The 14,396-nt window shown below is 50.7% G+C and overlaps 1 protein-coding gene across 3 annotated transcripts in view, besides 2 other annotated features; it reads right to left on the bottom strand.

Moving 5' to 3' along the window:
* Window positions 94-594: an enhancer, noted in NCBI's record as "H3K4me1 hESC enhancer chr20:32244101-32244601 (GRCh37/hg19 assembly coordinates)". NCBI's record gives its function as "activates a minimal SCP1, AML or CMV promoter by ChIP-STARR-seq in naive H9 embryonic stem cells {active_cell/tissue: H9 hESC(naive)}" and the evidence as "EXISTENCE:reporter gene assay evidence [ECO:0000049][PMID:30033119]".
* Window positions 3,165-3,753: an enhancer, noted in NCBI's record as "H3K27ac-H3K4me1 hESC enhancer chr20:32240942-32241530 (GRCh37/hg19 assembly coordinates)". NCBI's record gives its function as "activates a minimal SCP1, AML or CMV promoter by ChIP-STARR-seq in naive H9 embryonic stem cells {active_cell/tissue: H9 hESC(naive)}" and the evidence as "EXISTENCE:reporter gene assay evidence [ECO:0000049][PMID:30033119]".
* Window positions 6,859-14,396, bottom strand: part of CBFA2T2 (CBFA2/RUNX1 partner transcriptional co-repressor 2) — a 159,935-nt gene continuing 152,397 nt past the window's right edge. For all 3 annotated transcript variants that reach the window (NM_001032999.3, NM_005093.4, NM_001039709.2), the window contains one exon: window positions 6,859-12,542. In NM_001032999.3, coding sequence (NP_001028171.1) covers window positions 12,243-12,542 — 300 coding nt within the window. In that variant the 3' untranslated portion in view covers window positions 6,859-12,242. The remainder of the gene's footprint in view (window positions 12,543-14,396) is intronic.

Genomic DNA, 14,396 nt, shown 5'->3' with positions numbered 1-14,396 from the left:
TCCTGCCTGAGGGAGGGGGTGACGTGTCTCTGCAGGTTTTATAGGGGTTCTGGCTTCACCCACACAGAGCCTCCTCTGGGCCCAGATCGCTCCTGTGGGAAGACCTGTCCTCACCAAGCTGGACTTGTCACTGCCACCCCACATAGAGTGGTTCCAGTTGGACAATGGCTGAGTCAGTCCTACTAGCCCCTGGGGGTGTCCTCCTGCCCCCCTCCATTACTGGGGGCATGGAGGGGAGGTGACCAAGAGGGACATCTAAGCAGCTGCTCTGAAGAGGAGGCCCCTGGCACCACAGAAGCACAGGATGGCATTTGACCTGGCCTGGGAGTGTTGGCGTCAGTTTTCCAGACAGAGGAGACGGCACATGGGCTCTGAGGAGAAGGAGGGCTTGCCTGGTTGAACCAAGGGTGACCCAGTAGCGGGGCTGAGCTGGGGGTGCCAGGGGGAGAGGGCTGGGTGAGGCTGGGCCTCTGAGGTGCTACATCCCAAGGAGGCCATGGGAGGCTTTAATTCGGGGTGAGGGGGTGGCCGGTGGGTTGAGTGCCCTTTCCATGTTCCTGAACGCCCTGGTGTTGCCAGGTCCTTACTGGGCTGAGGCCTGGCTACAAGGCAACTCAGATGGCACCAGTTCAGGGTGGGCATTCCCATCTGGGACTCCAGGCAGGGTCTTCCCTGCGGTTTCTCCCTGGCAGCCCCTGTGGGAGACAGTTTCTTCCACCAGCCTGGCTCCCTGGGCCACCTGCACAGAGGTCCCTGCTGGCACCCTGGCCAGTCCAGTGCCAGGCCGTCCTCCCGCCACCCCGCTTCCCAGATCTCTGGGAGCTCCTAGAAAGTGCTGCCACCATCTGAACCACATGGGGCTCTGAGCAGGCTTGAGGCTTGTTCGGGTGTAGTTGTGTGTGCCTGTAATTCCAGCTACTTGGGAGGCTGAGGCAGGAGAATCGCTTGAGCCCAGGAGGCGGAGGTTGCAGTGAGCCAAGGACTACAGGCGCACACTACCACGCCCAGCTAATTTTTGTAGAGATGGGGGTTTCGCCATGTTGCCCAGGCTGGGCAGTGTGTCTTGTTAGAGAAGACAGCTGAGGAGGACATCGCCCTGCTTTACGTCCTGTGTTGTAAAGGCTTCTTTTGTCCTCCACAAAAACTGTAGCAACAAATCCTCAAAACTAAAAAAACTTCCCTCTGCCATCTTTATTTATTATTGTTATTTTTTGAGACGGAGTTGCTCTGTCGCCCAGCCTGGAGTGCAGTGGTGCGATCTTGGCTCACTGACCCTCTGCCTCCTGAATTCAAGCGATTCTCCTGCCTCAGCCTCCCCAGTAGCTGGAATTACAGGCACACACAACTACACCTGGCTAATTTTTTTTGTATTTTTAGTAGAGATGGGGTTTCACCATGTTGGCCAGGCTGGTCTTGAACTGCTGTCCCCAAGTGATCTGCACACCTTGGCCTCCCAAAGTGCCGGGATTACAGGCATGAGCCACTGTGCCCAGCCCACTGCCATCTTTAGACATGCCCAAGCCCTCAGGCTGACTTATCTGTGGTGGGCGTCTCCTTAGTTTTTGTGCCCTGGGCACCCTGCCTGCCTCGCCCTGCAGTGCAGTTCTGAAGGTGGACACCTCTTTATTACAATTTTTAATAAGAAAGGCTGTGTCCTCCCTCCTGAAAGCTGGAGCTGCAGAGGAGGGCACGCAGGCAGGGATGTCCAGCAGGGTCAGGGGGCCTCTTAGGACAGTGTTTGGTTTGAGCTGTGGAAGTAGAGCAGAGGTCTCCGGGCAGGTGCGAGGGCAGAAGGGATCCTTGGAGTGTGAGGGCTGGGGCGAGCTGAGGAGGCCGGGTGCATGGGAGTGGAATGTTGTCTTGCAGGTGACAGGGAGACAGGAGGGTCCCAGACAGGGAGTGGGTGGGGGTGGAGCTGAGCGCAGACATGGCTGGAGCTGCAGCCACAGAACAGACGTCTGAGCTGGGCTGGGGCTGTGGGGACCTGGAGGAAGCCCTCAAGCCTCTGCCTTGTCTGTCGATCTCACGAGCCCACCTCATCTGTAGCCTGCCATCCCCACCATTGTGCCTCGCCCCAGCCCCCAAGTCAGGGCCACCGTCCTCTCTGGCGTGGAAGACTGCAGCAACTTCTTTACCTGGCTCCCACCCCGTCCATTCCCTGTAAAGACACAGCCAGAGGCGGCTTTCGAAATGTTGCCATTTTGAAAAACGCACCTCTGGCCAAGACCCTTCAATGGCACCCACTGCCTTCAGCATCAAGGTCATAATTTCATGTCCTGGCAGCCAAGGCTGGGCCATTTACAACCCCAGTCACCCTGTCTGTGGCTTTTGTCCCAAGCCACCCGTCCGCCACAGAAACGCTTCCACTGTAAGGAGCAGGTGAGTGCCATTGTGCTGGGGCGCCTTTCCCAATCCTGCGCTGGGCACCTGCTTTGTGGCAGGTGCTGGGGATGATCAAATGTTCTGGGCTGGTGACAGCACTCGGTCAAGGGCAGGCAGAGCCCTGAAGTCAGGAGAGCTCCGGGCTCATTGGCCAGCTGCCGCCCCCACCCTTCCACCCACTCCCTGCACCTGTCCTCTCCCCTTCCTCACACCTGCACCTGTGACTCACCTGTAAATATTCAAACCTGTCCCAGGGATTGGCTCAGTGCCAGGCCAGGCTGGAGATAGCAACAGTCTAGATGGTGGCCAATGCCCTACAGCTCTCCTAACAAGTCCCCTTAACACAGTCTCTTATGAGCCGAAAGGGACTGAGAATTAGGTGGTCTTCAAAAAATTATTCTCGAAACATACTACTTCAGCAGGACACCAGGCTCCACATAGAGTGCTGGACACAAAGATCAATCCTCAAAGAAACCACAGATTGGTGGGGAGAGAAACAGGTTATAGCAGCAACCAGTTTACAGGGGTGCCTTGGGTGCCAGGCCCTGTGCTAGGGGCTATACCCATGTTGTTGATTGCATTTTACCCTCGCAACACCCCAGAGGTATAGGCATCGTTAGCATCCCCAGCTTACGGAGGAAAAAGCTCAGTGAATAAGTGCCTTGCTCCGAGTCACGCAGGAGGGATCCACTCCCTGGCACCAACAGCTGCTAGCCATCAGGAGTAAACAGCGCTGGGAGAGGACACCCTCCGGTAGCAGAAACCCGCCCCAGCTGGAGGAGGTAGAGGCAGCTACACCAAAAGAAGGAACAATGCCAGGCCTCGGGGCCTGCAAAATGGCAGACGGGGCAGCAAGGACGAGCCCAGTGCGAGGGCCTGGGTGAGCCAGCCCTCAGAAGGTGGGGAGACTGATCCCCGATCACTTCTGGAACTCTAGGAGGAACCTAGCAAATATTAACTCATGGGGTGGAAAGGCAGCCTGAGAAAATGCTGATGCGAAGGGGAAGGAAAAGCTGCTGGTGTGTACTCTGGAAAGGAATCTGGCTTAGGGATGGTGGCAACCCAGGGGGAAAGTCCAGCTCTGTCCACAAGAGGGCTCCTGGCAGCAGGCAATGAAGCCCACCTGAGGAGTGGAGTGGGGACTGTCGCTGGTTCCCCCAAGCCTCTTGGAAGGAAGGCTAAGAAGGAGACATGCCTAATCGTGACCCTGACCCTGAAATACCAGCAGTCAGAAACAAGCAGAGACGGGCAAGAGACATGTTTGCTTCCCAAGATCCTATCCCCACCTCAGGACAGTGCCCTTTCTGCTGAGAAACACATTAGCAGGCTCTTGGATGCTGCTCTTGGTAACACATGAAAAGGCTTTCCCTTCCTAACCTTCCAGAGGAACAGATCTTTCACAGTTCCCAATTATTTGTCTCTTTTTTTTCTTTTTTTTTTTGAGATGAGGTCTTGCTCTGTTACCCAGGCTGGAGTGCTGGAGTGCAGTGGCATGATCTCGGCCCACTGCAACTTCTGCCTCCTGGGTTCAAGCGATTCTCCTGCCTCACTTTCCTGAGTAGCTGGGACTACAGGCTCCTGCCACCACACCGGGCTAATTATTTGTATTTTTAGTAGAGGTGGGGTTTCACCATGTTAGCCAGGATGGTCTCGATCTCCTGACCTCGTGATCCACCTGCCTCAGCCTCCCAAAGTGCTGGGATTACAGGCATGAGCCACTGCGCCCGGCCTCTTTGCTCTCTTTCTGACAAAGGTAACGCACCACTAATTTTTTCTTTTTCAGGTTGATGTAATCTATTGGTGAATAACACATTATTTCAATGATTGTCATTTCCAGAATTCTATTTTCAAATCTGCCTAGTCATTTTCAGACTCTTTTTGCTCATTGTTTTTCAGTGCCATCTTCAGAGGTTTCATATTTTGTATTCTGTATCTGGTGTGCTTTTTTTTTTTTTTTTTTTTTTTTTTTTTTGAGATGGAGTCTCTCTGTCGCCCAGGCTGGAGTGCAGTGGCGTGATCTCGGCTCACTGCAACCTCTGCTTCCCAGATTCAAGCGATTCTCCTGCCTCAGCCTCCTGAGTAGCTGGGATTACAGGCGCCTGCCACCACATTCGGCTAATTTTTGTATTTTTAGTGGAGACGGTTTCACCATGTTGCTCAGGCTGGTCTCAAACTCCGGACTTCATGATCTGCCCTCCTCGGCCTCCCAAAGTGCTGGGATTACAGGCGCGAACTGCTGTGCCCTGCCTGTATCTGGTGATTGTAATATCTGAAGTCCCAGGGGTTAAATCAATTATTGTTCCTGTTGACTTTGCTAACAATGGCTCATTTTCTTGAAGGTTCAGTAGTGTTTCCGGACAGCTTATAATTGGTTGACACACAATATTGACCCTGAAGGTCCTTAATTATCTTAATTTCTCAGCACCAGGATTCCCTGACCTTCCTTCAGTATATACCTGACATGTACAGCTAAGTTTTTAATTTTTGAGACGGGCGTCTCACTATGTTGCCCAGGTTGGTCTCAAACTCCTGGAATCAAGTGATCTCAGCCTCCGAAAGTGCTGGGATTACAGGTGTGAGCCGCCACGCCCGGCCCAGTTTTTCTTTCTTTTTCTCAAGCAGGGACAGAGCTGTTTCCAATTCAGTTTCCATTGCAGATGGGCAGATTTTCCCTGCCGCCTTTTCACGGTGCCAAAGGTGCTGAGCTACCTGCCATTGTGGAAAGGCCCCGGTTTTGTTTCCGTACTTTGTATATGCTCAAAACCAAGCCTCACATTGCGCCTAGAGGCAATCTCCCTCCAACTCTTGAGTTCTTGGAAATGTCCTATCTGTGACCTCAGCAATACAGTTAAAAGTACATTCATTATAATTTATCTGGCATCTGGGTGTTTTGTGGTCACGAAAAGATTTTCAGCCTGCCATTTCTATGGCACATTCCGTTTCCACCAACATAGTGCTCTTGTGGAGGGCTGACAGTCCCATGACTGAGATCTTGTCATTGTTCTAGGTGGGCAGATTGCAGTGCAGCCCAGAAAGGTTTGCAGTTGGCACCACCTGCACCAAAGATCATACAGCCAACCCCTACGCCATAGGCTAGCCCTTCTCCTCGTCTCCAGATCTAGTAACCAGTCCCTCTCCCCTTGCATTCTAGGGGATTGTGAAGCTAGTGGTCCCAACGAGCCTCTTGGGCAAGGCTGTTCAGGAGAGGCGGGTCTCAGGGAGAGAGCACAGATGGGTATCTGAGTGACAGAAGTGAGGCCTCAGCTCACCAGCTGGTAAACCGGACTGGCAGCCTGAAATTCCACACACAGGTGTGCCTGCACCAGCCTTAGGGCCACGGAAAGTACCACCCAGGGGCTGCTGGAGGCAACACAAGCTGTTGGGCTTTTAGGGAGAGTAGTTTGTACAGATTTCAAGGATCCAAGAAATGTTCAGTATCAAAAACCCCCACTTTGGAAAATTATCCTAGGGAAATAAATAATGCGAAGAAAGAGTATGCATAGAAGATGTATGCCACACTGGAAAACGCGAAAGCGATCCAATTGCCCAACAGAAGGTGAAGGGTTAAAAAAAATTATGGCCTCAATTAAATGATGCAACCATTTAGCAAATAAATTAAATTGGAAGGCAACAGTAAAATTACCTGTGATTTAACATCAGTGTCATAAGGACATAAGTGAATATTTGACAAGTCCAGGTATGTTTGTTAACATTTGTGTTAAAATTTTACAAGAAAATACATGTTACTAGAAAATATATCCACAAGTCCACCACCCTGTTCAGGCAGGACAGATGGTCAGATTCTCTGTGGTTCATTTTTCCTTATTACAAGATAATTTGGCCGGGTGCAGTGGCTCATGCTTGTAGTCCCAGGACTTTGGCGGGGGCGAGGCAGGCAGATCGCTTGAGCCCGGGAGTTTGAGGCCAGCCTGGGCAACATGGTGAAACCCTGTCTCTATAGAAAATACAAAAAATCAGCCAGGCGTGGTAGCCCATGCCTGTAGTTCCAGTTACTTAGGAGGCTGAGGTGGGAGGATTGCCTGAGTCTGGGAGGTGGAGGCTGCACTGAGCTGTGATCGTGCCACTGCATTCCAGCCTGGGCAACAGAGACCCTGCCCCCTCCCCACAAAACAAAACGAAACACCACTTAAAAGAAATAACGGGGAGTGTCTGGAAGCTGTTGTTGGCCCTTGACCGCAGGCCCACTGGTGGGCTCCAGCAGCCAGCCTGGTTGGGCCTGGTCCCCACAGGGCACTGACCAGTTGGTGCAGCTGGCTTTCCAGAGAGGCCAGTTCCAGGCACATGGGGTGCAGACACCCCCTGCTTCATGCCCTTGGATGCTCTTCAGGCCACGACTAGAACCAGTTGAGGCCCCTCTCTCCCTCTTCCTCAAGGATTTGGGAATTAGGGTGAGGGGACACCTCCTAGTGTAGGGACCACCTTTCCTCCCGGTCCCATTCCAGCTTGAGGCAGAAAAGGAATATAGCCTTTTTATTGACTACTTTAAGTAGAACAAACTAAATACATATTTAACAGTTTTGGTTCATTTATACAGTACATTAAATAAGTTATGCACAGAGTTAGGTAACAAAAATTCCTATCAGAGTAAAATGACAAAGCACAGAAAAACCAGATTCTAATGCATTCTGTGGGTGGTGTCACATTCATCATCCCCCTTTAAAAACCACGCGTGGAGGCTTCGTTTTCTATTTATTTACATTATTGGCTTTCTTTTGTGAGCGGAGCCTTTGTAGCCTCGTCAGGAAGTTGGAAAGCCACGTTAAGGGGACTGAAGGCCTCTTGGCGCAGCAGCCCTTTCAATCATTCGCCTAATGCTTATTGCTGCTTCTCTGCCGACTCCAAGGTAGGGATGGGGCTGTCCCCAACAGACACCAGCGCACATGCCCTATTTGGTATAAGCATCACTGAGTGTACACTGGGCAGCCGTAGGCTCGACCAGATGGGGTCTGTGAGGGAAGCTCCACCTCAGGGGCTGTGGAGGGGGAGGAGGGGACACAAGGCCCGCCCCTCAGGCCTCCTAACCTTCTCTTAGCTCACGATGGAAAAGGTCACCTGCACCATCATCTTTGGAAATGAGCACGTCGATGCCCGAGGAAAGAGGCAGGTAGTCAACGTTTTGGTTTCACAAGAACTACAGACACTCCAGAGTTGGAAGGGCCCTGCGGAGCCGCTGGCACAGCCCCCACCGCAATCTGGGCAGGGCTGCTCTCGACAGCTGGCCATCTGGCCCGTGCTGGAACAGTCCATGCTCCGCTGGCTATTCTTCCGTTTGGTTCAGACACGCTACCACCCAGTTTTCTGCAAACAGCTTAAAAAAAAAAATCTAAGGAAGTTGGTTTGGTCTACTGACCTGGGAGCCTGGAAACCTTGTTTCTAGTTCAGTTCTGAAGAAAGCCTCCAAGAAGTGTTCTATTTTCAGTGATTTATTCAATTCTACAGTTTCCAGGACAGATGGCCATCCGGTCATTCTGTTTTCATTTTGAAGAGCTCACTACCGTACAATTCCAGCTGTGCTGAACCTTCAAACGCACTTGTTGCGATATCCTCTAGAACTACCCAGAATGATGTCTATACCCTTTGCAAGCAGGTGACAAGCCGAGGCTTACTAACTCTGGGACAGGGCTGTACAAAGTAAAGCATGGGTTTTCTGTCTGGAAGCTGAAGATGTCAAGTTGACACTAAGCAGTGATGAACTCCTGGTGACCTTCTGGCCCAAATGGGCAAAGGAAATCCACGCTGCAGAGAGCGGGCAGCAGCCAAGGCCAGGTGTGGACTTGTGGTGGCAAGATGTGTCCTGTTTCCAGACAGACATTTCTAACCCAGCACTGCCCTAGAAATAATCTACGCAATCGGTGACCCCACGGTCACCCAACCGTGCCTGAGCGGATCTGCTAGAGCACCAGCCCTGGAGCTGCAGGGCCCCCCAGTGTGGAGTGCCCCCACCTCCCGAAGTGGACTGCCTAGGCCTAGGCTTAAACAACTTCTTGAGTCACCTTCCCCACTGGATGAGTCAGGCACGGTGCAGGCAAGTGGGGACAAAAAGGACAAGCAAAGACGTGAAACCCAGCCCTCAAGAAACTCTGGGGACATCTGGCATCTTTGGTCTTCTCTGGTCCCTGCAATCATTCCTCACTTGGCCGACCATAATGTCCCACAACTCATCAGTGTTCCTTGGCGGGTGGTGCTGAGCACTGGTCTCACCCTAGACATGTCTGGCTGATGGCCAGTCACATGTTGCATCTCTTTTTAGTTTCTAGGTTTCTGAAGAGCCTGCGCTTGACTGATACCTTCTGTACCACCATGCCAGCTCCTCTTTGCCTTTTATGTCACTGCAAATATGAACTGTAGAGGTCAGTCCTCTAAGCAGGCTGAATTTCCACTCCCCACCTGGTAGCTGAGGTGCTGTCAGCAGAGGCTGGGAACCACGCAAGGAACCTGGATTCGCTCCTGCGCCTCTAGCTGCCTACCCCGCCCCAATGGTGCTCCTCCTCCTGACCAGAGAGTTGGAGAATTTCAGAAAGGGATTCTTGAAATGTGAATAGAAGGTCCTGGGCAGAGGCCCTCGTGACTTCTGTGTGAAACTGACCAGAATTAACACAGCAGAAGGTTTGCAAACTGAGCTTCAGTGTGGAATACTGCCCAGGTTTGCAGATCAGCCTCTGGGCAGCACGAGCAGGGTGGAAGAGCATTACAAAGATTCAGAAAACGAAACTGTCACAGCAACCACAGCCCACAAGAGCAGGCCAGGCTCTGCACACCAAACCTAAGCCTTAGCCACAGAAATGGGCATCGAGCCCTAATAAATATTATTTTGTTGGTTTTGGCTCCTTATTCCAACCAGTAAAAGCATGAGCTACCCTGGCTAGTTTTATGGCCACTGGAGATTTTAAAAACCTGCTCAAGACCGGACACAGTGGCTCATGCCTGTAATCCTGGCACTTTGGGAGGCCAAGGTGGGGGGATCACCTGAGGTCCGGGGTTTGAGACCAGCCTGACCAACAAGGAGAAACCCCGTCTCTACTAAAAATACAAAATTAGTTGGGCGTGGTGGCGCATGCCTGTAATCCCAGCTACTCAGAAGGCTGAGGCAGGAGACTCGCTTGAACCTGGGAGGCAGAGGTTACCGTGAGCCGAGATTGCGCGATTGCACTCCAGCCTGGGAGACAAGAGAGAAACTCCCGTCTCAAAACAAACAAACAAACAAAATAACAATAAAAAACCTGCTTAAGGTGTTAATCCAACAAATCCATGAAAAACTAGTAAGCTGTTGTAATGGCTCTGTGACCTGTGAGACAGCCATGTCTCATGCAAATGTGGCCCTGTCCGGGGTACTGACTCCGTCCCCCTTAGAGTTCCCCACCAAGGACTGTGGCTTAAGGAGGCAGATGGGGTCGGGGGATACCCATGTATTAGGCTGACTGGAAAACTGTGGGGCTTATGTGTTCCACAGCAAAGGAACATGATTCTCTGCTGTTGTTTCACTGGTCACACCTTACTTTAGGCAATGGAAATCTAGGCATTTTAAAGGTGTCGTGCACTAGATTTCTTTGTAAGACTGAAAATGCTTGGTTAGAGTAAATTAGGGACTTGAAATTCTTTAATTTTGCCTTTTTTTTTTTTTTTTTGAGACAGAGTTTTGCTCTGTTGCCCAGGCTGGAGTGCAGTGGTGGAATCTCGGCTCACTGCAACCTCTGGCTCACAGGTTCAAGAGATTCTCTTGCCTCAGCCTCCTGAGTAGCTAGGATTACAGGTGTGTGCCACCACACCCGGCTGATTTTTCTATTTTTTTTTTATTAGAGACAGGGTTTCACCATGTTGGCCAGGTTGGTCTTGAATTCCTGACCTCAAGTGATCTGCCTGCCTCGGTCTCTCAAAGTGCTGGGATTACAGGAGTGAGCCACTGCGCCCAGCCAGGACTTGAAATTCTTACAGTAAGATGTACCTGTATCCAAGGAGAAGGCTACCTGTGTGGATCCCTTTTCCTTTATGGTACTGACAACTTTTATTTTAGACTCTGGTCAGTGCACAGAAGGTGGAGATTTAAACTTGTGCTTCAAAGGCCAGCTGGAGCAGGGCCAATTAAACTTACTCCAACTGATTTCTGGGTGTGAGAGGATGCCAGAGGCTCAAAGATGGAGAGCAGGAGGGGTCGGGGTCCTCAGACTCCCATCAAAACCAAAAAGACAGGCCGGGCATGGTGGCTCACGCTTGTAATCCCTGCACTTTGGGAGGCCAAGGCAGGTCACCTGAGGTCAGGAGTTCGAGATCAGCCTGGCCAACATGGTGAAACCCTGTCTCTACTAAAAATACAAAAATTAGCTGGGCGTGGTGGTGGGCGCCTGTAATCTCAGCTACTCGGGAGGCTGAGGCAGGAGAATTGCTTGAACCTGGAAGGCAGAGGTTGCAGTGAGCCAAGATCATGCCACTGCACTCCAGCCTGGGCAACAGAGTGAGACTTTGTGTTAAAAAACCACCACAACAACAAAAAACAAAACCCAAAAAGACAGGGAAGAATGTGGGAGGCAGTTCCTAACATTCTGAAAGGGATATGAGTGATGTCCCATTTGAAAATGGGAAGCTAGGAAGAAAAATTGATCAGCTTTTCCCAAAATGGTTCACATTTCATAAAACCTTTCTGATGAGCTCAAGGAGGGACGCTATCAGATAACACAAGAGAAGGAAACAGAAGTTGTGTGCCTGATGATAAATCAACATAGTAGATATAATGACCTGTAACTATGAGGTCTGAAGAATTCTTTGAGGTCCAGGAGGGCTTTTCAGATGAGACCAGGCCTTGACAGTGGGGGCAAGTCCTACCAACCTGCACAGCACATCCAGCAGGACAACTGTGGCTCAGCAGGTGCCAAATGGAGCCCATGGGCAGAAGATGCCCACAGCGTTCCAGATGTGTGTGGTCTGAGAGATAAAAGGACACAGAACAAGATGACTGTGCAAATAGCCAAGTGGTGGCAGAAGTTCTGCATTTCCAAGAGATGATCCACTCAATAATTTGACGATACTAGTTGGCCAACATGCTCAGAGAAAACAGACTATCCACAACTGAGCCTCATTCTCTCTCAGATCAATCCATGTGCTGGAAACTATTTTCTGCACAAGCAAAATCAAATGAGAAAAAAAACAGGTCCCAAACTAAAGTAGCCAGCAAGGTTGGAAAATCTTGTCCAAAATCATCTGTGATGTGGGGGAAGTTTTATTTGTTTTATGTTTTTGCTACTACGGGTGCTTTTATTGCAACAGTGACTTCTTTCCTGTGGACTCTGAGATCTTATCAAGTCTGAACAGCAGGGTTGAGAAGAGTCCTGAATGCCGCCTGTTGCTTACCCAAGTCCCCGTGAGGCCAATCAGTGTCATCTGCTGAGGATGGAGATGGGGCCGAAGGAGCTATTCAGGGGTGAGGCAGGCCGCTCCCTGACCGAGGGGCCTCCTCCACAGCCTGCTGCCTGCCGCCTGCCGCCTCCAGCCTGGCTGAGCACATTGGACAGTCTGCTGACTCAAGGAGATGGGGAGGGGAGCTGGTGGTCTACACTGAAAAGGGGCCGGCTAAGTCAGCTTCAGTGGAGAGAGGAACAAACCAGGAAAGCCATGGAGGAGGCAGCTCAGGCTGGCTGCCCATGTGCAGAGAATGGCACACTGGCTCCGCAGACAGCAAGTGCACAGAGAGGCTGTGGGGTGTTATTATTCAGGCTTGGACTCTTCCTGCCTCCAATTCATTTCTTGCTGATGACCCGGCAGCTACATGCACGGGTTCCAACAGTCAGTCCCTCAGCCCAAGCACTCTGTGGTGCTGAGCAGCCATCAGGGTAAGCAGAGTCCGGGGCTCAGAGTCCGTTGGTGTCGATAGCTGTCACAGAAGCAGGTGTTGAGGAACGCGATGTGGTTGCCGAGGTCTTGTCGAGGGCTGGGCTGGGCACGCTGCAGTCGGCGGACCTGGCAGAGGAGCCCCTGCCTACAGGAAGCAGCGGCCGGCCCTGGCCGTGGGGGCTCTGGCCATGCAGGTTCTGACCACAGAGGCGGTGGTGCCGCTCCCAGTCCTTGTGCTGGCAGAAAGAGCCACAGTATCGCGCGATATTGCAGCCACTGCATGTCTCGCTGGCTTTGCGGCCACAGTTCCAGCAGTTCTGCAAGACACAGGCATCAGTTAGTGGTTGCTGGGATTGAGGGGCAGGCTTGCCATTCATTCCCTGCACAGTAAAGCAAGGGGCTGTATGTAGAGAACCCCAGCTTTGGAACTACATACACCTGTGGTCAACTCCGCCCTCTACTGCTGTTTAACTATGAGAAATACACACTGCCTTTCTGAGTTTCCTTCATCTGTAAAACAAGAAAACTACTTCCCTGCAAGATGACAGGAACAGTGAAATGAGATGTGTGTGTGAAAATACCTTACACAGCACCAGCCTAGGGCAGGTGGCCATCTCTCCTGCCTAAGGCATGGACTCATCTTTTGGCTCATTTTAATAGTCAGAAACCAAACCAAACTCTGTGCCAGGGTCTCCCCCAAGAGCCATCTATCCTAAGACCACATGTGTTAAGACGAACATTTATCCTACTCCTTTCTGCATGTGCCACCATGCCTGGCTAATTTTTGTAATTATACATTATATACACACACACACACACACACACACACACACACACATTATATACTATATATATATATATATATATATATATATATATATATATATATATATATATATATATATATATAGTAGAGATGAGGTTTTGCCATGTTGGCCAGGCTACGCTTGAACTCCTGGGCTCAAGTGATCTGCCTGTCTCAGCCTCCCAAAGTGTCAGGATTATAAGCGCCCAGCTGATATTGCTTCCCTCATTAGAGAATAATCTTCATTGTTTTTACTGATAATCTGACTCAACGAAGGCTGCTGCTGCTGTTTTGTTTTTTCTTTTGGAGACAGGGTCTTGCTATGTTGCCCAAGCTGGACTTGACCTCCTAGGCTCCAGGGATCCTCCCACACTCCCACCTTAGCCTCCTGAGTAGCTGGGACTACAGGCATGTGCCACCATGCCTGGCTGATTCTTTAATTTCTTGTAGAGACAGAGTCTCCTTATATTGCCCAGGCTGGTCTTGACCTCCTGGCCTCAAAGGACCCTCCCACCTTGACCTCCTAAAGAGCTGGAATTACAGGCATGGGCCACTGTGCCTGTTCCCTAATAACTATCAGACCAATAGGATAGGAGCTGCTATACTCATTGAACAGAGATGGAGACTGACTCCTTTAAGGGTATACTGCCAGTATGAGAGGGAACTCGGCTAGAAGTCAGGGCTCCTAACCTCCAGTCCTGGCCTCCTTCCTCCCCCACACCAGACCACCTTTCACAAGATGAACAAGAAACTCCAGGAATACCTGCCAAATTTCAACAAGGATATTCTAGCTGAACATTCTTGATGGACGAGAATCAGCCGTTTTGGTCCAATGCAAACTCATCCAAAGGACAGGCCCTCTATCCCTTCCCTGCTTTTGAAAGTGATTTTGCAGGGATAGGTCCAGGTGTGCACCTCACCTGGAGGCTACTTTGTGGCTTATTTAAAATTACAATTCCTTAAAAGCACAATGCTCAAAATGGAGAGCTGGGATTTAAACCTACGCAGTCCAGATCCAGGATCTATGCTCTAAGCCAAAAGCTATACTCTTTCTTTGGAGATAGACATAGTTAAAGATAAACAGAGATAAAAGTAGATAAATAAGGACAAATACAGATACTGATATGGATGGCTATACATACACAGTTAAACATAGAGAAGAGAAACAGATATCTCACTCTCAAAAACAATTCTCTTTTCTTTCCCCCTCATCTTGCCATCGTCATCACCTTTTTTCTTTTTTCTTTTTTTTTTTAAAGAGATGGGGTCTTGCTCTCCCACCCAGGCTGGAATGCAGTGTTACGATCATGGTCAGGCTTGCACCTCCTGGGCTCAAGCGATCCTCCTGCCCCAGCCTCCAAAGTAC

The sequence above is a fragment of the Homo sapiens genome, chromosome 20 (genome assembly GCF_000001405.40).
Source record: "Homo sapiens chromosome 20, GRCh38.p14 Primary Assembly".
In the NCBI taxonomy this organism is placed as follows: domain Eukaryota; kingdom Metazoa; phylum Chordata; class Mammalia; order Primates; family Hominidae; genus Homo; species Homo sapiens.
Note: the sequence above shows the minus strand (reverse complement) of the source record. Positions and strands in the feature narration are given on the sequence as shown.